Source organism: Homo sapiens, chromosome 11 (genome assembly GCF_000001405.40).
Source record: "Homo sapiens chromosome 11, GRCh38.p14 Primary Assembly".
Taxonomy (NCBI): domain Eukaryota; kingdom Metazoa; phylum Chordata; class Mammalia; order Primates; family Hominidae; genus Homo; species Homo sapiens.
This window is the reverse complement of record NC_000011.10, coordinates 47,796,446-47,821,548: the sequence shown is the minus strand read 5'-3', so window position 1 is coordinate 47,821,548 and position 25,103 is coordinate 47,796,446. Positions and strand designations below refer to the sequence as shown.

At 41.1% G+C, this 25,103-nt stretch overlaps 1 protein-coding gene and 1 pseudogene across 2 annotated transcripts in view, besides 2 other annotated features; both read left to right on the top strand.

Moving 5' to 3' along the window:
- The window catches only part of NUP160 (nucleoporin 160), a 70,427-nt gene that overhangs the window by 26,996 nt on the left and 18,328 nt on the right, over positions 1–25,103 (top strand). The window contains exons 10-27 of one of the 2 annotated variants that reach the window (NR_134636.3): positions 2,091–2,175; positions 3,425–3,493; positions 5,520–5,603; positions 5,900–6,070; positions 8,134–8,233; positions 8,502–8,682; positions 9,120–9,247; positions 9,325–9,485; positions 13,020–13,153; positions 14,409–14,479; positions 15,237–15,396; positions 16,931–17,000; positions 18,013–18,111; positions 19,619–19,738; positions 23,086–23,181; positions 23,287–23,381; positions 23,475–23,571; positions 23,665–23,770. Coding sequence is in view for 1 of the 2 variants with exons in the window: in NM_015231.3 (NP_056046.2) it covers positions 2,091–2,175; positions 3,425–3,493; positions 5,520–5,603; positions 5,900–6,070; positions 8,134–8,233; positions 8,502–8,667; positions 9,120–9,247; positions 9,325–9,485; positions 13,020–13,153; positions 14,409–14,479; positions 15,237–15,396; positions 16,931–17,000; positions 18,013–18,111; positions 19,619–19,738; positions 23,086–23,181; positions 23,287–23,381; positions 23,475–23,571; positions 23,665–23,770 (2,012 nt within the window). In the remaining variant the exon portion in view is untranslated. The remainder of the gene's footprint in view (positions 1–2,090; positions 2,176–3,424; positions 3,494–5,519; positions 5,604–5,899; positions 6,071–8,133; positions 8,234–8,501; positions 8,683–9,119; positions 9,248–9,324; positions 9,486–13,019; positions 13,154–14,408; positions 14,480–15,236; positions 15,397–16,930; positions 17,001–18,012; positions 18,112–19,618; positions 19,739–23,085; positions 23,182–23,286; positions 23,382–23,474; positions 23,572–23,664; positions 23,771–25,103) is intronic. The other variant, NM_015231.3, reaches the window with a different exon arrangement.
- Positions 7,168–7,668: an enhancer, noted in NCBI's record as "H3K27ac hESC enhancer chr11:47835433-47835933 (GRCh37/hg19 assembly coordinates)". NCBI's record gives its function as "activates a minimal SCP1, AML or CMV promoter by ChIP-STARR-seq in naive H9 embryonic stem cells {active_cell/tissue: H9 hESC(naive)}" and the evidence as "EXISTENCE:reporter gene assay evidence [ECO:0000049][PMID:30033119]".
- Positions 7,669–8,169: an enhancer, noted in NCBI's record as "H3K27ac hESC enhancer chr11:47834932-47835432 (GRCh37/hg19 assembly coordinates)". NCBI's record gives its function as "activates a minimal SCP1, AML or CMV promoter by ChIP-STARR-seq in naive H9 embryonic stem cells {active_cell/tissue: H9 hESC(naive)}" and the evidence as "EXISTENCE:reporter gene assay evidence [ECO:0000049][PMID:30033119]".
- On the top strand, positions 17,147–17,253 carry RNA5SP340 (RNA, 5S ribosomal pseudogene 340; annotated as a pseudogene).

Genomic DNA, 25,103 nt, shown 5'->3' with positions numbered 1-25,103 from the left:
CTACTAAAAACACAAAAAATTAGCTGGGCCTGGTGGCAGGTGCCTATAATCCCAGCTCCTCGGGAGGCAAGGCTGTAGCATGAGAATCGCTTGAACCCAGGAGGCGGAGATTGCAGTGAGCCAACATTGCTCCACTGCACTCCAGCCTGGGCAACAGAGTAAGACTCTATCTCAAAAAAAAAAAAAAAAAAAAAAAGACAAGGGAGCTTTTTATGTAGAACCAAGTCAAGGGTTTTCATTCGAATAATTCAGCCCTGGGTTTTCGTCTTGTTACTGTCTTCCTGAAATACCTCTTGTGCATTTTGTGTTATTTTTTACATTTTTGTTTTAGGACAAAATGAGAATTTTGGGGGTTGGACTAAGATAAAATGTCATATTTCTTGGGAGAGATAGCACATATCCAAAATACCTCTAATCTGGGAGTTTTCTTTGTTTCTAAGCTAAGACTATTCCTGATTCCTGCAACTTCCTTAGGATACTATAGCCTTTGTGTTTTCAATTTTCTCATCATGAGATGAGAAATAGATTGGACAAGTGCAGTGCTTCTCAAATTTATTTTAAAACAGGGCTGGGCACAGTGGCTCATACCTGTAATCCAAGCACTTTGTGAGGCTAAGGTGGGAGGATTGCCTGAGGCCATGGTTCAAGACCTGTCCAGGCAACATAGCAAGACCTTGTCTCTATAAAAAATAAACTAGTGGCCAGGTGCGGTGGCTCATGCCTGTAATCCCAGTACTTTGGGAGGCTGAAGTGGGCAGATCACAAGGTTGGAAGTTTGAGACCAGCCTGGCCAACATGGTGAAACCCCATCTCTACTAAAAATACAAAAATTAGCCGGGCGTGGTGGTATGTGCCTGTAATCCCAGCTACTCAGGAGGCTGAGGCAGGAGAATCTCTTGAACCCAGGAGACGGAGGTTGCAGTGAGCCAAGATCATGCCATTCACTCCAGCCTAGGCGACAAAGTGAGACTCCATCTCAAAAATAAATAAATAAATATAAATAAATAAAATAAACTAGCCAGGTGTGGTGGCACGATGCACCCTATTAGACTGAGGCAGGAGGATTGCTTGAGCCTCAGAGTTCAGGCTTCAGTGAGCTATGAATGTGTAGTATTTTATGAGTATAAAATTATAACACAATTTAATGTTGATTGTACCTAATGTTAGATATATTTGGTATCTAATATTTTTTAATGTAGATGATATTAGTTTGCAAGCCTTAGGTAGTTAAAAATACATTTTACAAAACAATTTTTGGCTGGTCCCATGATAATGGATTGTCAGAACTTAACATTAGTGTCACTAAAGTTGGCATACAGCCCTCCACTGCTAAATTTGGCCAAAAATAAAAAACAAACCATTTTGAAGCAAAGACTTGTCTAACCCCTGAAACATCTGTAGAGGCTCCCTTGGGACAGAGCTTGAAGACCACTGAACTAATTGAACCCTCTGGGTCCCTGATAACCCTAGAGCCTAAGGTAGAATTCTGGGAATGATTGCCCTCCAGATTGACCTCAGGCCATACCTGGGAAGATAAAAAAAGCACTCCTTGTAGATGGCATTTGAGCAAAGTAGTCAGAAAGCACAGGCTGCAGAGTTGGAGCAGGGTTGGAATCCTAGTTGTGCAACTTACTAGCTGTGATATACCCTCAGCCTCACTGTGTACATCTGTGAAATGGGAGTACTATATCCTTCAAAGAATTATAAGGCATACATGAATAATGTCTAAAACTGCATCTAGCATAATATCTAGCAAATAATAAATGCAGAATAAAAGTTAGTTATTCTTTGTATTTGATGCCTTAGTGTTAAAATGACATTAAAGATTATGGGCTTGAGATCTGAAACAATGAGTTTCAATTTTAGGAAGATAATTATTAAAACATGGTAAGCAAACTTGTATAAAAACTAGGCTCTGCTAAAAATGTTTCTTTCTTTCTTATTTAAAAAAAAATGTTTTTAATAGAATTGATGAAGCAGTCATTGCCGGGTTCCGTGATGGGGTCCTCCCTGCCCAGATACTGCCAACAGCATACATTTCATTTTTAGTGATCATTTCTGTATAAACTGGTGGACTTTTTTGTCTCTAGTAATGTTGCAGGTCAGTGGAATCCAGTTTTTATGCAGCCTCTGCCAGAGGAAGAGATTGTCATCAGAGATGATCAAGACCCCAGAGTAAGTAGATGCTCAAATGTTATATAAGGGAATGATTTACTTTGATCTTTTTTTTTTTTTTGAGACAGAGTCTCGCTCTGTGGCCCAGGCTGGGGTACAGTGGCATGATCTTGGCTCACTGCAACCTCTGCCTCCCAGGTTCAAGCAATTCTCTTGCCTCAGCCTCCCGAGTAGCTGGGACTACAGTCACGTACCACCACACCCAGCTAATTTTTGTACTTTTGTAGAGACGGGGTTTCACCATGTTGTTCAGGCTGGTCTCCAACTCCTGACCTCAGGTGATCCACCCACCTCGGCCTCCCAAAGTGCTGGGATTACAGTCGTGAGCCACCGTGCCCGGCCAAATCTCCACATTTTTAAGGGACACCCTCAGGATAAATAAAAAAGCTTTCAGTTGATGCCTTAGTATTACAATGACATTAAAGATTATGGGCTTGGGATCTGAAACAATGACTATTTGCAGGAGTAGAAAACATACTTCAAAAATCTTAAATTGAATATTACTGCACTCTTAATCCCAAGAGTTTATTGGTGGTAGTTATTTATTGTTCCAGTTAACTACTGGCACTTGGCTTTTGTCTAAAAGCCAAAATCATATGCTGATTACTAAAACTGTTGTTTTTCTCCTTCATTTTGGTCATTTTATCATCTCAGTAGAAGGAAGGAAACTTGAATGACTGTTAGTCAGATTTACTACTTGGGGGCAAATCTGGTTTAGGAGAGTTGGTCAAAATCATTAGGCAATATGAGATTTTTCCATGTTGTTCTCTCTACTTCATTTCCCTACTTGTGAGAGTTTATTGCTGTTTGTTTTGTTTTGTTTTGTTTTGTTTGCATATAATACCTATTATTACTGGTTCCATTTCTTTTACATGTGAGTCATAAAATGAATACCATAGATGGTGTAGAAACCAGCTTCGTTTACTTGTTCTCTTACCAGTGTATATCACCAATTAGATTTGCTTCTTCCATTTAAGATTGGCATTTGACAAAGCTTGTTTTCTGCCGGAACCCAATGAAGCTCTCCGTGAGGAACACACCATTTTAAGTATAGTACCTCTAGTTGACTCAAAGACATTGCAGTCTTCACTTTCAGTGTGAAAACATGTAACCGCACTACTGTTATTGCCCACATATAGAAGGGCAAAATGGCAATGTTCATATAGTAGAAACTCAAACTTTGGTGTTATGTGTTGAATTCCAAATTTTGTTTAGGACAATAGTAACTTTTGTTTTAATGTTCTAATAGGAGATGTATCTGCAAAGTCTTTTTACACCAGGACAATTCACAAATGAAGCTTTATGTAAGGCTTTACAGGTCAGCAAAAAAAATTTACTGTTTGTTTAAGACTATTTCTTATTTTATTACTGTATATAATTACTATTAAGTTTTTGCATATATTAAACACTGAATGTACTTCTGTATTCATACATATGTGTGTTTGTAAATACTTTTATAATTTTTTTAATGTTCTTTCCATTAAATACAGTATTCATGGTGGAGAGGTTGGAGGGGGGACCACTTTCCCAGTAATCAGTGACACATGCCAGAGTTAGAAAGAGAAACCTCTACCTACAGTACTGTAAAAAGATACCATACTGCACTGTATAGAATCTCTGTACTTGAGAGAAACTTAAAGTGGTTTTTTGTTTAGTTTTGGTTATACTGTTTTAACCTTTTTATTAGGACAGTGAAGGTCTGACTTGGTTCAGATTCAAGAAAACTCTAGGCCGGGCGTGGTGGCTCACGCCTGTAATCCCAGCACTTCGGGAGGCTGAGGCAGATGGATCACGGGGTCAAGAGATCGAGACCATCCTGGCCAACATGGTGAAACCCCGTCTCTACTAAAAATACAAAAATTAGCCGGGCGTGGTGGCACACGCCTATAGTCCCAGCTACTCGGGAGGCTGAGGCAGAAGAATTAATCTCTTGAACCCGGGAGGCAGAGGTTGCAGTGAGCCAAGATTGCGCCACTGCACTCCAAACTGGCGGCAGAGTGAGACTCTGTCTCAAAAAAAAAAAAAAAAAAAGTTTTTGGCTTCAAATTCATTGTATAAGAGAAGCCCAGTGCTTTACAAAAGGATTCTTTGGCCAACGGTAGTGACTCACACCTGTAATCCCAAAATTTTGGGAGGCTGAAGAGGGAAGATCACTTGAGCCCAGGAGTTTGAGAGCAGCCTGGGCAACAGAGGGAGACCCCATCTCTAAAAAAAATAATAATAATAGAAAAATAGCCAGGTGTGGTGGCATGCACCTGTGGTCCCAGCTACTCAGGAGCCCTAGGTTGGAGGACTGCTTTAGCCCAGGAGGTAAAGGGTATGGTGAGCCTTGATCATGCCACTGCATTCCAGCCTGGGAAACAGAGTGACACCCTATCTTAAAAAAAAAAAAAAAAACTGAAAGGATTTTTTAAGGTTACAAAGGCTTCTGGCTGGGTGCAGTGGCTCACACCTGTAATCTCAGCACTTTGGGAGGCCAAGGGGGTGGATTGCTTGAGCTCAGGAGTTCAAGACCAGCCTGGGTAACATGGCAAGATTCCCATCTCTATTAAAACAACAACAAAAAGTTACATAGACTTTTTTTTTTTTTTTCCCTTTGAGGCAGGGTCTCGCTCTGTTGCCCAGGCTGGAGTGCGGTGGCACGATCTTGGCTCACTGCAACCTCTGCCTCCTGGGTTCAAGTGATTCTCCTGCCTCAGCCTCCCAAGTAGCTGGGACTACAGACGCATGCCACCACACCCGGCTAATTTTTGTAGTTTTTAGTAGAGACAAGGTTTTGCCATATTGGCCAAGCTTGTCTCGAACTCCTGGCCTCAAATGATCCACCCGCCTCAGCCTCCCAAAGTGCTGGGATTATAGGCATGAGCCACCACACCCAGCTTGCATAGGCTTCTTTAAATTACTACTTAGCTTCATGGATGGATTTAAAATACAATAACTCATATAATTGAAAATTATATTAGAATATTTTAGACTGACCTCCCACATAAAACAGAAATGCCTTCTGAGGCTTTTGTGATAGTTATTCAGCCTTTAATTGTCTCTACCTCCACTGACCACTTTGTCACTACCTCTTGTGGGAGTTATTATTCCCAAACTGTGTCATTGAAAAGGAAGCCTCTCTTCTATAAATCAACCCTTCAAGTATTTTAAGAATCTTTCCAGGTCACCTTTCTCCAGACTAAATACACCCAGTTTCTTAACTTTCTCTTGGGTGATGTGTGTTCCAGGTATGCCAAATCTCTATTATATAGTTTTATATTGCCTCTATGTCTTCTAAACTGAAACGTTTTCCATTCAGTTTTGGCTATTATATAGAAGTCTAAAATGTCTTTTAATGTTAGATTTTCTGCCGAGGAACTGAGAGGAATTTGGATCTTTCCTGGAGTGAACTGAAGAAAGAAGTTACTTTAGCTGTTGAAAATGAGGTGAGGCTTGGGTAGAGAAAGAATAAGAATTCCTTCCATCTTGATATAGGGCAGATTGGTACTGACCGAGGAATTACTGGAATTCTTCACTTGACCTTGTTTGTTGGAACATATAAATGTTTAAACCTTTTAACTAGAGAATCAGATACACATTTGCATAGTCTATGGCCTTTAATACGTAAGGAATATTCATTTGGCTGTAGCTTAGTATAATGATATTGGACAATTATGTTTTTTGTGGACAAAGATCCTGAATGGCATCAAAAGTTTAATTTCTTTCATTTCTTCTTTGCCAGCTTCAAGGAAGTGTAACAGAGTATGAATTCTCCCAGGAGGAGTTTCGAAATTTACAACAAGAATTCTGGTGCAAGTTCTATGCCTGTTGTCTTCAGTATCAAGAAGCCCTCTCTCACCCTCTTGCCCTACATTTGAATCCACACACAAACATGGTGTGCCTGCTGAAAAAAGTAAGTGAGCTAAAGCATAGAGAAGACCTTCTTGAGACAGTTCAGTGGCTGTTATAACAAAATGCCTTCAGAAAACAAAAAGTTCAGTGGCTCTTGCCGAATGTTAGTCTGGTGAATGTTGCGGTTAGCATTTAGGACTTTGCATTTGTATTTTTTCCCCTAAAATTGTGATTCATTCATTTAAATAGTTTTCTGTGTTATTCTCTATACTTTTTTTGTATTTTATTGTATTTATTTCTTTTTCTTTTTTTCTCTTTTTTTGAGTTGGAGTCTTGCTCTGTCACCCAGGCTGGAGTGCAGTGGTGTGATCTCAGCTCACTGCAACCTCCGCCTCTGGGATTCAAGCAATTCTCCTGAGTACCTGGGACTACAGGTGTACACCATCACACCCGGCTAATTTTTGTATTTTTAGTAGAGGTGGGGTTTCATCATATTGGTCAGGTGGGTCTTGAACTCCTGTCCTTAGGTGATTCACCCGCCTCAGCCTCCCAAAGTGTTGGGATTACAGGCGTGGGCCACCACACCCGGCCTATTTACTTTTTATATTGAAGTAATTTCCAACTTAAGGTAAGAGTTACAAGAATAGCACAAAGAATTCCTGTATACCCTTCATCTGGATTCATCATTTGTTAACTTCCATATGCTTTTCTTCTTTCTCTAAACAGTTTTTCCTGAACTACTGAGAAGTTAGTTGTAGATATCATGCTCCTTTATCCTTAAATATCCTTAAATATTTCAGCATGTATCTAAGAACACAGATATTAAATAACCACAGCCCAATTTAAAAATCAGGTTATTTGATATTGACATAATATTATACAGCTTATATTCAAATTTTGCCAAATATAACATATATATATATATAGTTTATATTCAGATTTTGCCAATTGTGCCCATAATTTTTTTTCCTGATCCAGGATCCAATCTTTTTTTTTTTTTTGAGACAGTCTTGCTCTGTCGCCCAGGCTAGAGTCCAGTGGTGCAATCTCGGCTCACTGCAACCTCCGCCTACTGAGTTCAAGCGATTCTCCTGCCTATCCTCCAGAGTAGCTGGGATTATAGGCACGCGCCACCACACCTGGCTAGTTTTGTATTTTTAATAGAGACGGAGTTTCGCCATGTTGTGACCAGGCTGGTCTCAAATTCCTGGGCTCAGGTGATCCGCCCACCTTGGCCTCCCAAAGTCCAGGATCCAATCTAATATATGTATTTAGTTATTGTGTCTCTTTAGCTTAACCTCAAACTGTTATCAGCGTTTCTTTGTCTTTCATGAGAATGATGTTATTTGAAGACTATGCTTGTTTCTTTTTTTTGTTTGTTTGTTTGTTTGTTTGTTTGAGGCAGGGTCTTGCTGTGTCACCCAGGCTGCAGTACAGTGGCACTCTTTTTTTTTTTTTTTTTTTTTTTTGAGACAGAGTCTCGCTCTGTCACCCAGGCTGGAGTGCAGTGGCACGATCTCAACACACTGCAACCTCTGCCTCCTGGGTTTATGCCATTCTCCTGCCTCAGCCTCACCAGTAGCTGGGACTACAGGCGCCCGCCACCACACCTGGCTAATTTTTTGTATTTTTAGTAGAGACGGGGTTTCACCGTGTTAGCCAGGATGGTCTCGATCCCCTGACCTCGTGATCCACCCACTTCAGCCTCCCAAAGTGCTGGGATTACAGGCGTGAGCCACTGCGCCCGGCCCAGTGGCACTCTTAAGGCTCACTGCAGCTTCAACCTCCCAGGCTCAGGTGATCCTCCCACCCCAGCCTCCCTAGCAGCTAGAATTAAAGCTGTGTGCCACCACACTTGGCTAATTTTTTTTTTTTAGAGATGGGGTTTCATCATGATGCCCAGGCTGGTCTTGAACTCCTTGGCTCAAGTGATCCTCCCACCTCAGCCTCCCAAACTGCTGGGATCACAGATGTGAGCCACTGTGCCCAGCCAAGACTTACACCTATTATTTTATAGAGTGTATTGCAACTTGGGTTTGCCTCATGATAAGATGCACATCTCAATTATTTTATACCTTTAAAATTTTACTGACAAAAATGTAACTGGAAAATTTGTATTTCCAGGGGTACCTGTCTTTCCTTATTCCCTCATCCTTAGTGGATCATTTGTATCTCCTGCCTTATGAGAACCTTTTGACAGAAGATGAGACAACCATATCTGATGGTAATAGTAATTGTTATGTCCATATTTAATCCCCTTCCTATATAAACCCTATGCTTCGTTTCACATGGATACAAAAAATATCGATTGCCACACCTGTCTTGGTCACTTTACCACACCACAAATATTTTAATGAACACTTAAGAGACCAAAGCATCTCTGAGACCTCAGATAGATTTCTTGTCATTTAATTATTAACATTTTAATGTAATATCAATCAATAGATTGTCATTGGCTTAAGACATAAATGTTAACTTTCTCTTATTTGTAGATGTGGACATCGCTCGGGATGTCATATGTCTTATAAAATGCCTCCGGCTGATTGAAGAGTCAGTAACTGTGGATATGTCAGTTATAATGGAAATGAGTTGTTATAACCTACAGTCTCCGGAAAAGGCTGCAGAGCAGATTCTGGAAGATATGATCACTATTGATGTGTAAGGAGAATTAGGGTAAAGTGCATTTCCTAATGGAAATTCAGCATTTTTAGCGCCAAAGTTGGAATTTTAATGTATGTTCCAGAGCGTACAGAATAGTAGCTTAAAGTCAAACTGATGCGCCATGATTCTAAGTACATATTTCTACTTTTAACAGAAAATTTAACACGACTTCAAGTCTAGAAATAGACTTATAAAATATGCTTTAACAATTAACCGAGCTAAAAATTCTAAAAAGCAAAAGTGTTCTTCTCATGTTTGTTTTGTGTGTTGTTTATGAAAAACTGAGAGGAAATTTGCTATGCATAGGGACTGTATCTTATATGCCAGAGTGATTATCTTCATTCCTTTATCTGGTTCTCTTGTTTCATAATGTATTTAGCTTATAGGACATATAGAACTTGCCTTACGTATTCTCGGTAGTAATAAGAGTTTTGTAATTGTCCTTATAGAGAAAATGTGATGGAGGATATTTGTAGTAAACTGCAAGAGATTAGGAACCCAATCCATGCAATTGGACTACTTATACGGGAAATGGATTATGAAACAGAAGTGGAAATGGAAAAGGGATTCAATCCAGGTAAATGACAGAACAACAAATGTGCCTCTTTGATTAAAACAATGATGCATTCAACTCCATTTTTCTTCTTTTTACAGCTCAGCCTTTGAATATTCGAATGAATCTTACCCAGCTCTATGGTAGTAACACAGCAGGGTATATTGTGTGCAGAGGGGTGCATAAAATCGCCAGTACTCGTTTCCTGATCTGCAGAGATCTTTTGATCTTACAGCAGCTGTTAATGAGGCTTGGAGATGCTGTAAGTACTGCTTGAGGGAAAACTTGTAAAATCTAAAACCTGTTATAGGCCTACAAGCACTTAGGAGCAAAATGTCAGCCCTACTAGCACAGATACTTTTGTCTTGGTTCACTGCTTTATTCTCCCAAGCTTGGCCTTATGAGATGCTCTATAAATATTTTTGAATTAAGAATGAATAAGCATTGTAATCCTTGTGAGAGTATAGATTAAGAGCATATATGGAGGGGACGGTGGGGAGGGAGAACATCAGAAAGAATAGCTAATGGATCCTGGGCCTAATACTTAGGTGTTGGGTTGATCTGTGCAGCAAACCATCATGGCACACGTTTACCTACGTAACAAACCTGCACATCCTGCCCATGTACCCTGGAACTTAACAGTAGATTTTAAAAAACATACATGAAGCAGATTGCTTTACTCTTAACCTTTGTATGTGTAGTAGTGGAAAATTTTCCCAAGTTGGCTCTCCCAAAATGTAGTATTATTAGTAACTATGAATGTGGTAAGCATACCCTTTAGTATGGAGGAAGAAAAAGAAAACTCTTTTTTTTTCCTGTCTCTCTCTCTTTTTTTTTTTTTCTTGAGACAATCTTGCTCTGTTGCCCAGGCTGGAGTGTGGTGGCCTTATCTCAGCTCAAGCAATTCTCCTGCCTCAGCCTCCTGAGTAGCTGGGATTACAGGTGCGTGCCACCGTGTCCGGCTAATTTTTGTATTTTTAGTAGAGACAGGGTTTCACCATGTTGACCAGGCTGATCTTAAACTCCTGACATCAGGTGATCCACCTACCTCGGCCTCCCAAAGTGCTGGGATTACAGGCATGAGCCACCTTGCCCAACCTAAGAACTCTCTACAGTGCAAGGCTTACCCTAAACACAGTTTTGAGATGCAGGTTTATCTTTGTGGTCCTCCTAACTCTATTCTGTGCTTTCTTTTTCATTCTGTTCTTCTTAGACCACCAGACTCTTGTTGCTAATATATAGTCCTAATCACCCACCCTACTGAATGTCCCATGCTAAGAAATTATTTTTCTCCCCACAGTCAGACATCCCATTTTTTTCTAAGTCAGTAATCTCATTTGAGCCTGTCAAAGAAGGAATCTAATTAAACCAATTCATATTAATGTGTAAATAGCCAAAAGTCCTTTGGGGCTCCCATTTTAATTCTGACTTAAAATGTATAAATGTACTTATACATTTTAAGTCAGAATGTATTAACTCAGGCTGGGCACAGTGGCTCACACCTGTAATCCCAGCACTTTGCGAGGCTGAGGTGGGCAGATCACTTGAGGCCAGGAGTTCGAGACCAGCCTGGCCAACATGGCCAAACTCCATGTCTATTAAAACAAAAAAGTTAGCGGGGTCTGGTGGCACACTCCTGTAATCCCAGCCATTCAGGAGGCTAAGGCATGAGAATTACTTGAACCCAGGAGGCAGAGTTTGCAGTGAGGCAAGATTGCACCACTGCACTCCAGCGTGTGTGACAGAGCGAGATTCTGTCTCCAAAAAAAAAAAAAAAGAAATTATAAACCCAGATACATCGCTAATGGTAGAATTTCAAGCAAGAGTAAGAAAAAGGCCAGATGTGGTGGCTCATACCTATAGTCCCAGCACTTTGGGAGGCCAAGGTGGCCTGGTTGCTTGAGCCTAGAAGTTTGAGACCAGTCTGGGCAAACCCTCATCTCTACAAAAAAATACAAAAATTAGCCGGGCATGGTGCAGCAAGCCTGTAGTCCTTGCTACTTGGGAGGCTGAGATGGGAGAATTACCTGAGCCTGGGAGGTTGAGGCTGCAGTGAGCTGTGATTGCGCCATTGCACTTCTGCCTGCATGACAGAGTGAGACCCTATCTCAAAAAAAAGAAAAAAAAAATTGGGAAGATAATTTGTTTAAGATCACCAAGTTGAAAAATGAACCTTTCCTGAAAGTCTGTTAGGTTGGTTAGCCTTTACTAAGTTCTTTTTGATCTATGTAGATTCTTCCATTTTTTTCAGGTTTTTTGTTTTTTAAATTATAACTTTTGTCAATTTTTCTGAACACAGAAGTAATAAGATATTCATTGTAGAACCTTTACAAAATATATATAAGCAAAAATTTAAAAAATTTATAATTTTCTACCCAGTGATTACTACTTAAATTTTGCTATATACGTTTTTTTCCATGCACATTCTTTTTGGTTTGTTTGTGAAATTTAAATAAACTACATAGTATTTTTTGTAATCTGGTTGTTCTGTTCTTCCACTTTATAAATCTCAACATTTTTCTTTTTGTTGCCAGTTTTTCCTTTATGTCCATAATTTTCCGCACATCTTTTTTTTTTTTTTTTTTTTTTTTGAGAGTCTTGCTCTGTAGCCCAGGCTGGAGTGCAGTGGTGCAATCTGCAACCTCCGCCTCCTGGGTTCAAGAAATTCTCATATCTCAGCCTCCCAGGTAGCTGGGATTACAGATGCGCACCACTACACCAGCTAATTTTTATATTTTTAATAGAGATGGGGTTTCGCCATATTGGCCAGACTGGTCTCGAACTCCTGGCCTCAAGTGATCTGCCTGCCTCAGCCTCACAAAGTGCTGGGATTACAGGTGTCAACCACCGTGCCTGGCCACTTTCTGTACATCTTTAATTATATCTCTAGAATAAGTTCTAAAAACTAGAATTTGGTCTACAGGTAATGCACATTTTAAGGCTTTTGGTAGTACTGCCAAATTTGCTTATAATAATGGTCATACCTGTTTTTTTACCCAGCACCAGCAGTATATGAGAGAATTTAGATTTCCCTGTGTCTCTTCAATTCTTTTTTTTTTTTTTTTTTTTGAGACAAGTTCTCACTTCTGTTGTGCCCAGGCTGAAGTGCAGTGGCTCAATCTCGGCCCACTGCAGCCTTGATTTCCTGGGCTCAGTTCAGCTTCCTGAGTACCTGGGACTACAGGCACATACCACCACTCAGGCTAATTTTTTTTTTTCTTTTTTAAGACGGAGTCTTGCTCTGTCACCCAGGCTGGAGTGCAGTGGCGCGATCTCAGCTCACTGCAACATCCGCCTCCTGGGTTCAAGCGATTCTCCTGCCTCAGCCTCCCAAATAGTTGGGAATACAGGCGCCCACCACCATGCCTGGCTAATTTTTGTAATTTTTACTACAGACGGGGTTTCACTGTGTTGTCCAGTCTGGTCTCGAAATTTTGGGTCAAGTGATCTGCCTGCTTCAGCCTCCCAAAGTGCTGGGATTACAGGTGTGAGCCACTGTGCCTGGCCCTCTTCTTTAATTCTGAACCCACAGATTTAATGAAAGTTAAGCTTTTTATTGTTGGTTTCTTTTCATCATGAGCTTCCGTTACTTGGTGAGCTGTTTTTGATTATTTTTTGACTGTTAATGTTTGGGAAGATATTTTGCCACTTGCTACCGTAAAATGTAAAACGTGTTGCTTTTACAGTATTGTGACCTTTGTATTTGTTATTTTATTTTACCTCCACCTGAGCCGTAAGAGTTACCATTACTAATTGCTATAATTTCTTGTCTGGTCCACCTACCCATAATGTATAGGTGATTTGGGGAACTGGTCAGCTCTTTCAAGCTCAGCAAGACCTACTACATCGAACAGCTCCCCTACTCTTATCTTATTACCTCATTAAATGGGGAAGTGAGTGCTTGGCAACTGATGTTCCACTTGACACACTGTGAGTTTCATTATCCCAATTATTTAAAATGTAAATTGTGAGTTTAATTATTTTTCCCCTTGTCTTAAAGGGAAAAAGTTTTAGTGTTTTGTTTTTGTTTTTGTTTTTGTTTTGAGACAGAGTCTCGCTCTCTCTCACCCAGGCCGGAGTGCAATGGCATGATCTCGGCTCACTGCAACCTCCGCCTCCCAGGTTCAAGTGATTCTTCTGCCTCAGCCTCCCAAGTAGCTGAGATTTCAGGCACCTGCCATCATGCCCAGCTAATTTTGTACTTTTGTAGAGATGGGGTTTCACCATGTTGGCCAGGCTGGTCTCAAACTCCTGACCTCAGGTGATTTGCCTGCCTTGGCCTCCCAAAGTGCTGGGATTACAGGCGTGGGCCACCACGCCAGCCGGGAAAAAGATTTTTAACAGGATGCCGTAAAATTATATGCCATTAAGATTCAGAGAGCTTTTTGGTGCCTTTATTTGTTACAGGTTGAAGGCAACTTATAAGAATGAAAATAAGTCACATGTAATCATAGACTGTATGTATGTGTACAAATAAATTATGTATTATACTTATGTACTACACGTTTGTGTGTACATATAAATTATGTTGAATATAAAATACGATGAAACCAGAAGGAAAGACCATACACAAAATGTTACGCTTGTTACTTTAGGTAGGCTGAGCTTCTTTATAGCCAAATCCAAGAATTACAAGATTCACTTTTTTTTTTTTCTTGGAGATGGAGTTTCGCTCTTGTTGCCCATGCTGGAGTGCAATGGTGCGATCTCGGCTCACTGCAACCTCCACCTCCCTGATTCAAACAATATTGCTGCCTCAGCTTCCAGAGTAGCTGAGTTTAGAGGCGCCTGCCATCACACCTGGCTAATTTTTGGTATTTTTAGTAGAGGTGGCGTTTCACCATGTTGGCCAGGCTGGTCTTGAACTCCTGACCTCAGGTGATCCACCCGCCTCAGCCTCCCATAGTGCTGGGATTACAGGCATGAGCCACCACACCCCGCCGAGATTCACATTTTCAATAAGATAAACCATCCTGTTTGCTCTGGCTCCTCATTGAAGGGTCACGAAGTGATATTATGGGCAACAATCTATATTATAATGATTTCCAATTTTTTTTGTGCTTTCAGTGGAGCTTTTATGTGCAATTTATTAATTAAATTGACAGTGTTCTTCGTAGAAGAGCTTGTAGAAGTAATGTTTAGCATAGGAGAATTTACTAAGCTGTCTTTTCCCCTTTTCTCACAGGGAGTCTAATCTCCAACACTTATCAGTACTGGAATTAACAGACTCTGGTGCTTTAATGGCAAATAGGTTTGGTAAGGAGTGGACTATGTACACATTTCATTTTAAACTGGGGATTTATTGCATATTCATTAAAGTGGTCTTTTGCCACCTTTGCCATAGAAAGGTTGGCTAGGCTCTTTGCTTTCAGAAGGCATGAGTAAGCTGTGGCCTGAGATCTCCGTTTGTGGCATGGGGTCTGTGAAACTGTAGTACCAGATCAGGCATATGTTAAGGATATGGTATATATATGTGTGTGTGTGTGTGTGTGTGTGTGTGTGTGTGTGTGTGTGTGTGTGTGTGTGTGTGTGTGTATAGCTGCTTTCCCATTCTGTTTTGATGCTCCAGTGATTAACAAAATCATTTAAAAATTTATTCGTTCATGGTAACTTTTGTAATCTTAGTCAACAGATATTTAAAAGTATCCCTCATGTTTGAAAACCATTATTCTGGAGAATTTATTTTGTATTGTTCTGGTATAAAAGTTGAAATCCTGGGGCTAATTGTATTTATCATGAAGAATTTCTAGGGAAGGCACTTAAGTCTTGTGAGATCAGTGAAAAGAAATGACTATAACTTTGATGTGAATGGTGTTTTTATTGCATTTTTATAGTGCCTCACAATTTACAGACTACTTTTATTTATATTGCCACTGGATATATACCCGTGATACATTTTCTGTTTTGAAGTGCTAAATTGTTTGTTACAAGCATAAAATGAATTGATAGACTATTTTAATTGAAAATTGATAATTACCACTACACAAAACTGTCATAACTTTTTCTTTTTAAGTATCTAGTCCTCAGACTATTGTGGAGTTATTCTTCCAAGAAGTTGCAAGAAAACACATTATATCTCACCTCTTCTCTCAGCCAAAGGCACCTCTGAGCCAAACTGGATTGAATTGGCCTGAAATGATTACTGCAATTACCAGTTATTTATTGCAGCTTTTGTATCCTTTTATTTAGAAGCCAGTGAAAAGCTCTCTTCTGGCCGGGCATGTTGGCTCACACCTGTAATCCCAGCACTTTGGGAGGTGGAGGCAGGTTTATCACTTATGGCCAGAAGTTCGAGACCAGCCTGGCCAACATGGTGAAACCCCACCTCTACTAAAAATACAAAAATTAGTCAGGCGTGGTGGCCTGCACCTGTAATCCCAGCTACTCGGAAGGCTGAGACTTGCTTGAACTTGGGAGGTGGAGGTTGCAGTGAGCCAAGCTCGCGCCACCACACTCCAGCCTAGGCGGCAGAGCAAGACTCCTTCTCAAAAAAAAAAGCAGCTCTCTTCTATCTAAATAGTCTAAGGTTCTTATTCTGCCTATGTAATGAAATACCTAGGTCTGTTTTAAGACATTATTCGGCCAGGCGCAGTGGCTCACGCCTGTAATCCCAGTACTTTGGGAGGCAGAAGCGGGCAGATCACGAGGTCAGGAGATCGAGACCATCCTGGACAACACGGTGAAACCCTGTCTCTACTAAAAATACAAAAAAAAATTAGCCAGGCATGGTGGCAGGCGCCTGTAGTCCCAGCTACTTGGAAGCTGAGGCAGGAGAATGGCATGAACCCAGGAGGCGGAGCTTGCAGTGAGCCGAGATTGCGCCACTGCACTCCAGTCTGGGCAACAGAGTGAGACTCCGTCTCAAAAAAAAAAAAAAAGACATTATTCATTTGGCTGGGTGCTGCAATGGCTCATGCCTATAATCCCAGCACTTTGGGAGGCCAAGGCGGGCAGATCACTTGAGGCCAGCAGTTCAAGACCAGCCTGACCAACATGGTGAAACCTCGCCTCTACAAAAAAATACTAAAATTAGCTGGGCTTGGTGGCATGCGTCTGTAGTCCCAGCTACTCAGGAGGCTGAGGGAGGAGAATCACTTGAACCTTGGAGGCAGAGGTTGCAGTGAGCTGAGATCATGCCCCTGCACTCCAGCCCTGGCGACAGAGTGAGACTCTGTCTCAAAAAAAAAAAAGACATTCATTCAACAAATATTTATTGAATGACTCTATATGCCAGGTACCATGTTATGTGCTGGATGTCCACTGGCACCAATACTGTGTTCTGCGGTACACCAGCTGGAATTGAAAATGAACACCCAGGAATGAAATACAGGCTTTTAAAAATTTATTTATTTTTAGAGACAGGACTCTTATGTGTTGCCCAGGCTGGTCTTGATTTCCTGGGCTCAAGCAGTCCTCCCACCTTACCCTTCCAAAGTACAGGGATTGCAGGAGTGAGCCACCGTGCCTGGTGAAATAGATGCTTTATTCCATAGTTATCTGAGTTCTAAGCACTATAACAAGTCTCCTGGTATAAAAGTAACTGTTTAACTGTATTCTAGTGATGATGAAAGAACATGTGGTTGGCCAACTTCTCTGCCTTGTTTATGTAAATTAAGCTATTTTATGGACTTTTCTGAATTTGATGCCCAATGTATATGTTTAAGATTTGCCAACAAAAATTAAGAAATATCCTTAACCAATGACTAGATGGCCTAGCAATCCTGGTTGTCTCTTTCTAGAATGTTTGATGGGAAATTGCCAATATGTACAATTGCAGGTGAGTTCCTTTGAACATTTCATGTCTACACATTCTTGTAAAGCATGGGATTGCTGAATTTTTTTCTTTGTAAATGTTAACTGCATTTTAAAGAACCACAATAATTTAAACTTGATTATGTGAAGACATACCCCAAAGAGATTGTTCTCTATTTCTATACCATCCTGAACTTGCTTGATTTTGTCTGATCTACGAAGCTAAATAGGGTTGGGCATGGTTAGTACTTGGCTGAGAGAATACCTGGTTCTAAAGGCTTTTAAAGAAAGTAATAAAATAAATTTTTAAAGAGAGAGATTTTTCTCTACTTCTCTCTGGACAGTATAATTCCTAACGTGATTTTTTCTAGAGTATCTTTTTTTTTTTTTCCTGAAACGGAGTCTCACTCTGTTGCCCAGGCTGGAGTGCAGTGGCATGATCTTGGCTCACTGCAGCCTCCACCTCCTGGGTTCAAGCAATTCTCCTGTCTCAGCCTCCCGAGTAGCTGGGATTACAGGCACGTGCCACCGCGCCCAGCTAATTTTTGTATTTTTAGTAGTGACTGGGTTTCACTATGTTGGCGAGGCTGGTCTCGAACTCCTGACCTCAGGTGATCCACCCGTCTCCCCAGAGTGCTGGGATTACAGGCATGAGCCACCGTGCCTGGCCTCTAGAGTGTCTTTTTAAGAATTTGTCTCTGCTAGGTTTTCTTCATAGTAATTCAAATGTACTATTGTTTTCATATAAATCCTTTACTGGAATCTAGTCATTGAACCAATAAATACCAAAAATTGGAAAATTGCTGAGATGTAAAGTATGTGTATGTGTGTTACTGGACTCCTGTTTGTGTAAGGAAAGGGGGAATGGATGAAGAAGGAAGGCAACAGGGGTAGGTTTTAATATCAGAATTATGTCAGGAAATAAAACATTTGTTCAAACACTGTCTTTTCATCCTCTGTGACGAATAACTTGGGAATGAGTATCTCCTTAAGTAACATTTATTTTCTAATCAGAAAGCACCTTTTATGCCTTTAAGGATTATATTCAACTGCTACATCCCTGGTGTCAAGTCAATGTTGGTTCCTGTCGATTTATGCTGGGAAGGTGTTACCTAGTTACAGGAGAAGGACAGAAGGTAAACTACATTTGAATGGCAAATAAACTTTATAAACTTTAACGCAAGGAAGTTGCTTAGCTTCCATTTGACTAGGTTTTAGGGGATGGGAGACATAGAATCCTCTACATAAAGTTAAAGAAGACTGTACTAATGCCAGTCAAAGGCATTATATACATGTAAGGACTACTTTCTTGTATTCTGCAATTTAGATAGGACTCAGGAACATAAGAAAATATTAGAACTCTCCTGCCCCTGTGTGTTTTTAGAGATTCCTTTTATTATTATTATTATTATTATTATTATTATTATTATTTTGTAAAATCAGGGTCTCACTATGTTGCACAGGCTGGACTCAAGCGATCCTCCCACCTTGGCCTCCCCCAGTGCTGGGATTACAGGCATAAGCCACCGCGTTTGGCCAGGATACATTTTTATAAATCAAACTTATTTACTTATTTTATTATTTCTTTTAGACAGGGTCTTGCTCTGTCACCCAGACTGGAGTGCAGTGGTGTAATCAACAGCTCACTGCTGCCTCAACCTCCTGGGCTCAAGTGATTCTCCTACCTCAGCCTCTCAAGTAGCTGAGGTACTTGGAGGCTACAGGCGTGAGCCACCATTCCTGGCTAATTTTTTAATTTTTTGTAGAGATGGGGTTTTCCCATGTTGCCCAGGCTGGTCACGAACTCCTGGGCTCAAGTGATCTGCCCACCTCAGCCTCCCAAAGTGTTGGGACTACAGGCATGAGCCACTGCACACAGCCCAAATTTACTTATTAATTACATTTTTTTTATTGTTTTATGCTGCTTTTTTCTCGTTATGTAGTTTAAAGTTTTAATTTTTTCCCTGATGTTCTATTACATAAATTTTCAAACAGACAGGAAAGTTTAAAGACTTTTTACAGTGAACAGTATATACCTATCACTCAAATTCTACAATTGTTAACATATTGCTACAGTTGCCTTATTATGTATGTATGTGTCAATCATCTTATTAAGGTTTACTTTCTTTTTTTTTTGGAGACAGTCTTGCTCTGTCACCCAGGCTGGAAGGCTAGACTGCAGTGGCATGATCTTAGCTCACTGCAACCTCCGCCCACCAGGTTCAGGCGATTCTGCTGCCTCAGCCTCCTGAGTAGCTGGGATTACAGGTGCACGCCACCACGCCCGGCTAATTTTTGTGTTTTTAGTAGATATGGAGTTTCACCGTGTTGGTCAGGCTGGTCTCAAACTCCTCACCTCGTGATCCACCCGCCTCAGCCTCCCGAAGTGCTGGGATTACAGGCGTGAGCCACCCCACCCGGCCAATGTTTACTTTTTAATTGGTAGCACTTAAGTGTGAGATACATTTTTAAAAATATGAATGCATCACATAGAATTCATATGTGTCAGAAACTATACATAGAGTAGACCATGTTAAGTAATCTTGTTTCTTTTTTGGCTTTCCCTTACATGTGAACCCCTGATTCATAGCACCTAGAATTTGAATGATCTGTTACAAGTCATTTTATATTTTATTTCTCCAGGCTCTGGAATGTTTTTGTCAGGCAGCATCTGAAGTAGGCAAAGAGGAATTCTTGGATCGCTTGATTCGCTCAGAGGATGGGGAGATCGTGTCTACCCCCAGGCTGCAGTATTATGACAAGGTACATCATGTCTTGGTTTGGCCTTATACCACCCTGTGTAAAAACACATCTGAAATACATTGCTTTGCTATTTTTGGAGAAAAATACTATAAAAATTCAGTTGCTCCCTGAACTTCCAAATTTAAAAAAAATGAATTTGCCTAGAGAAATTAAAGAAACATGGCCGGGCACGGTGGCTCATGACTGTAATCCCAGCACTTTGGGAGGCCAAAGCAGGCAGATCACCTGAGGTCAGGAGTTTGAGACCAGCCTGGCCAACATGCCAAAACCCTGCCTCTACTAAAAATACAAAAATTAGCCTGGCGTGGTGGCGGGTGCCTGTAATCCCACCTACTTGGGAGGCTGAGGCAGGAGAATCACTTGAACTTTGAGGTGGAGGTTGTAGTGAGCCAAGATCGTGCCACTGCACTCTAGCCTGGGTGACAGAGCGAGACTCCGTCTCCAAAAAAAAACAAAAAGAAATTAAAGAAACATATTTTAAGTTAAAATTTTTTCCCAGGATCTATAATTAGGGTTAAATGGTGAAATGTAATAAATACTTTTAACTGAAATGAAATTTTCGTCATGGTATTTTATTAGCCCAGTTGCCATTAGAATTTTATTATTTAATTTGCACTTTACTAGTCTTGCTGATATTTCTGGGAATTGACTAGTAATGCTGTATTTAGCCTTAGTTTATAATTTGGACTTGAGGGTCCTCTTGACCTGTTTCCTGCCCCTCTTTCCTCTGGTCACTCCATTGTAACAATGGTGACCTTCTTACTGTCTCATTCAAGTCAAGCGCATGCTCTATTCTCTTAGGGCCTTTCTGCCTGCTGTTCTGTCAGCCTGAAATGCCCTTCCTCACACCCTCATTCCATTCAGGTCTCTGCTTATCTGTCACCTCCTCAGATAGTGCCCTCTGCCTGGCCTGTGCAGAAAAGCTTTTTTATTCATCCTGTTGTGCACACTTCCAGATTGTATAACATTTCACCATACTTGATTTTATATTTTAGACTAGAATTTATCTGGATTTCCCACCAGAAAGTAAATGCCACAGAAGCAGTCTTCACTGTTTTGTTAATTGCTTATTAGATAAATGAATTTACACTGAAGTAGATTTGTAGCTCTTAATAACCCTTGGCCGGACGCGATGGCTCACACCTGTAATCCCAGCACTTTGGGAGGCTGAGGTGGGCGGATCACGAGGTCAGTAGTTCGAGACCAGCCTGACCAACATGGTGAAACCCATCTCTACTAAAAGTACAAAAATTAGCCGGGCGTGGTGGTGTGCGCCTGTAATCCCAGCTACTTAGGAGCCTGAGACAGGAGAATCACTTGAACCCAGGAGGCGGCGGAGGTTGCAGTGAGCTGAGATCGTGCCACTGCACTCCAGCCTGGATGACAAAACAAGACTCCACCTCAAAAAAAAAAAAGAAAAAAACCCTCTACTTTCCTACTAATGACAATTCTTTTGAATTCCAGTACAGCCTGGGTGACAGAATGAGACCCTGTCTCAAAATTAAAAAAAAGTATTATGTGCTTTATATAATCGTATATACTATACTTTTTTTTTTTTCCTTTTTTTTTTGAGACGGAGTCTGTTGCCCAGTGCAGTAGTGCGATCTGGGCTCACTGCAACCTCCGTCTACCAGGTTGAAGCGATTCTCCTGCCTCTGTGTCCCAGGTAGCTGGGATTACAGGTGTGCACCACCACACCCCACTAATTTTTGTATTTTTGGTAGGGACAGGGTTTCACCATGTTGGCCAGGCTGGTCTCGAACTCCTGGCCTCTAGTGATCCACCTGCCTCGGCCTCCCAAAGTGCTGGGATTATAGGCATGAGCCACAGTGCCTGGCCATGCTGTACTTTTTATATGACTGGCAGCACAGTAGGTTTGTTTACACCAGCATCACCACAAACACGTGAGCGATACATGCGGTGGCTATGATGTCACTAGAAGATAAGAATTTTCCAGGTCCATTATAGTGGGTGCAGTGGCTCACGCCTGTAATCCCAACACTTTGAGAGGCTAAGGCAGGAGGATCACTGGAGCCTAGGAGTTTGAGATTAGCCCAGACAACATAGGAAGACCCCATCTCTACAAAAAATTAAAAAATTACCTGGGCATGGTGGTGCATGCCTGTGGTCCCAGCTGCTCAGGTGGCTGAGATGGGATGTTCACTTGAGCCCAGGAGGTCAAGGCTACACTGAGCTATGATCATGCCACTGCACTCCAGCCTGGGCAACAGAGCAGGACCCTGTCTCAAAAAATTAATAAAAATAATTTTAAAACTTTTTATTTTATCTTCATCCTTTATAAATGCGTATTTTGGATGTATCATACATATGTATTAGAGAATTGCACGTATATGAGATAGGGAAATGTGCATGGTTAGGGTAGCGGGCAGACGTTGACAGGGTGGACAATCAAAAATGTTTGTCAGGCCGGGCACAGTGGCTCACGCCTGTAACCTTAGCACTTTGGGAAGCTGAGGCAGGCAGATCACCTGAGGTCAGGGGATCAAAACCACTCTGACCACCATGGTGAAACCCCATCTCTACTAAAAACACAAAAATTAGCTGAACGTGGTGGGGCATGCCTGTAATCCCAGCTACACAGGAGGCTGAGGCAGGAGAATCACTTGAACCCAGGAGGTAGGGGTTGCAGTGAGCCGAGATCACACCATTGTGCTCCAGTCTGATTGACAGAGACCCTGTCTCAAAAAAAAAAAGGATTATGTCAGTCATTTAGTAAATTATCTTTAGGGTTTTTATAAAACTATGGTGTTTATTTACTATTCTTTACATTCATCTGTGACTTGAACAGTTAGTAGTGAAATCGTATTTATTCTTTCATTCAACAAGCTTGCTTTTTTTTTTTTTTTTTAATAATAGAGATGGGGTCTCGCCGTGTTGGTCAGAATGACAGGTGTGAGCCACCAGACCCAGCCTCAACAAGTATTTACGGAGAGACTACTGTATACTAGGCACTGAGGATAGAGACAGGGTCGTGCTATACCACCCAGGCTGAAATGCAGTGGCAGGATTAAAGTTCACTGCAACCTTGAACTCCTGGGTTCAAGCAGTCTTTCCACCTCAGCCTCCCAAGTCGCTACAACTACAGGCGCATGCCACCACACGCAGCTAATTTTTAAAAAAATTTTTTTGTAGAGATGGGGGTCTTGCCATATTGCCCAGGCTGGCCTTGAGCAATCCTGCTGCTTCAGCCTCCCAGAGTACTGGGATTGGAGGTGTGAGCCACCATGCCGGCCTACTTAACCTTTCTCAATAATTTTAAACCATAATTGAGTTTGAAGTACATTACAATATTAATTTTAATGGAAATTTCTTCTATTTCTCGTTAGGTTTTACGACTACTAGATGTCATTGGTTTGCCTGAACTGGTTATTCAGTTGGCTACATCAGCCATAACTGAAGCAGGTGATGACTGGAAAAGTCAGGTAAGAATTGGCTGCAATTTGGTTGTTTTCTTTAAGGTTTGTTGTGGGTGTGGTATGTTCATTTCTATTGCTCTTTTTGATATTTGATCTACATTTGATATTTAGGCTACTCTAAGGACATGTATTTTCAAACATCATTTGGATTTGGGTCACAATAGCCAAGCATATGAAGCCTTAACCCAAATTCCTGATTCCAGCAGGTAATTTCATGGCCTTTTTTAGAGAAGACAATTTACCAACTCTGTTTAACCTACTAAGATAGTTTGCCCTCATATTCCTTTCTTTCCTTCTAGGCAATTAGATTGTTTACGGCAGTTGGTGGTAGTTCTTTGTGAACGCTCACAGCTACAGGATCTTGTAGAGTTTCCCTATGTGAATCTGCATAATGAGGTAATTTTACTTATCCAGTGATGGCTTTCAACAAGTATGGTGGTTGCCATGATTGCTACTGACTTAGTTATCTGATTGCTTCCCCTTCCCTAGGTTGTGGGAATAATTGAGTCACGTGCTAGAGCTGTGGACCTTATGACTCACAATTACTATGAACTTCTGTATGCCTTTCACATCTATCGCCACAATTACCGCAAGGGTGAGCAATGTAACCAGACAGTATCTTGCAGACAGCCTTATTAGTTTAATCATGTTTTACCAAAATATTGTGTGTTGGACTTAGGTAATTTTTAATATGTGTTTAAGTACAAGATTAGCTTAAACCTTGTGAAGATTACCTTGAAGATAGGCCCTTGCTTCCATTCTAGAACTTTCTCAAGGCGTTGCCACTAAAATGGCATTCTGTGTGCATCTTCTGTACAATTATAAAGGAAATTAGCACTGGGCGCAGTGGCTTACACCTGTAATCCTAGCACTTTGGGAGGCCAAGGCAGGTGGATCACCTGAGGTCAGGAGTTCGAGACCAGCCTGGCCAACATGGCGAAACCCCTTCTCTACTAAAAATACAAAAATTAGCCATATGTGGTGGTGGGCACCTGTAATCCCAGCTACTCAGGAGGCTGAGGCAGGAGAATTGCTTGAACAGGGTGGGGCGGGGGGCGGAGGTTACAGTGAGCCAAGATCACGCCACTTCACTCCATCCTGGGCGAAAAGCAAAACTCCGTCTCATAAATAAATAAAGGAAATTAGCTTTTTCACTAGAGACAGCATGAATTTTTGAGACTGGGTTTGAGTTCCTGTGCTATTTCACCATTAGCCTTCTCCCTTTCCACATTTCAGTTCTTAGAGCAAAATTCTGACTGCTTAAATGTGCTTAGGTTATGAGTATAATAGATGATATTCCGCATTAGCTGTGGTTAGATTGTCCCACATCCCCTCAATTAAATGCAAAGTCCTTAAAGAGGGGACTAAAATTTACATTTAGGGTTGGGCGCGGTGGCCCACGCCTGTAATCCCAGTACTTGAGGAGGCTGAGGCAGGTGGATCGCTTAATGTCAGGAGTTCGAGACCAGCCTGGCCGACATGGTGAAATCCCCTCTCTACTGAAAATACAAAAAATAGCCGGGCATGGTGGCGGATGCCTGTAATCTCAGCTACTCTTGAACCCAGAAGGTGGAGGTTGCAGTGAGCCAAAATCATGTCACTGCACTCCAGCCTAGGTGACAGAGCGAGACCCTGTCTCAAAAAAAATTACATTTAGAAGTTATCAAATGATATCCTGGTGAATTCTTTTTTCTTCATTCAACTTTTTAATGTAAAATTTGTCAAGTCTACAGAAAAGTTAAAACATTAACGCAGTGAATATCACCCTATATACCTTTCATCCAAATTCCCCAACTGTTAATATTTTACATCATTTTCTTATCTCCTCTTCCCTCCTTTCCTTTCTTCCCCCTTCCTTCCTCTCTCTCTCAATATCTATTTATTTATTTACTTACTTGTTTGTTTTTGCTGGTCCTTCTGGGAGGAAG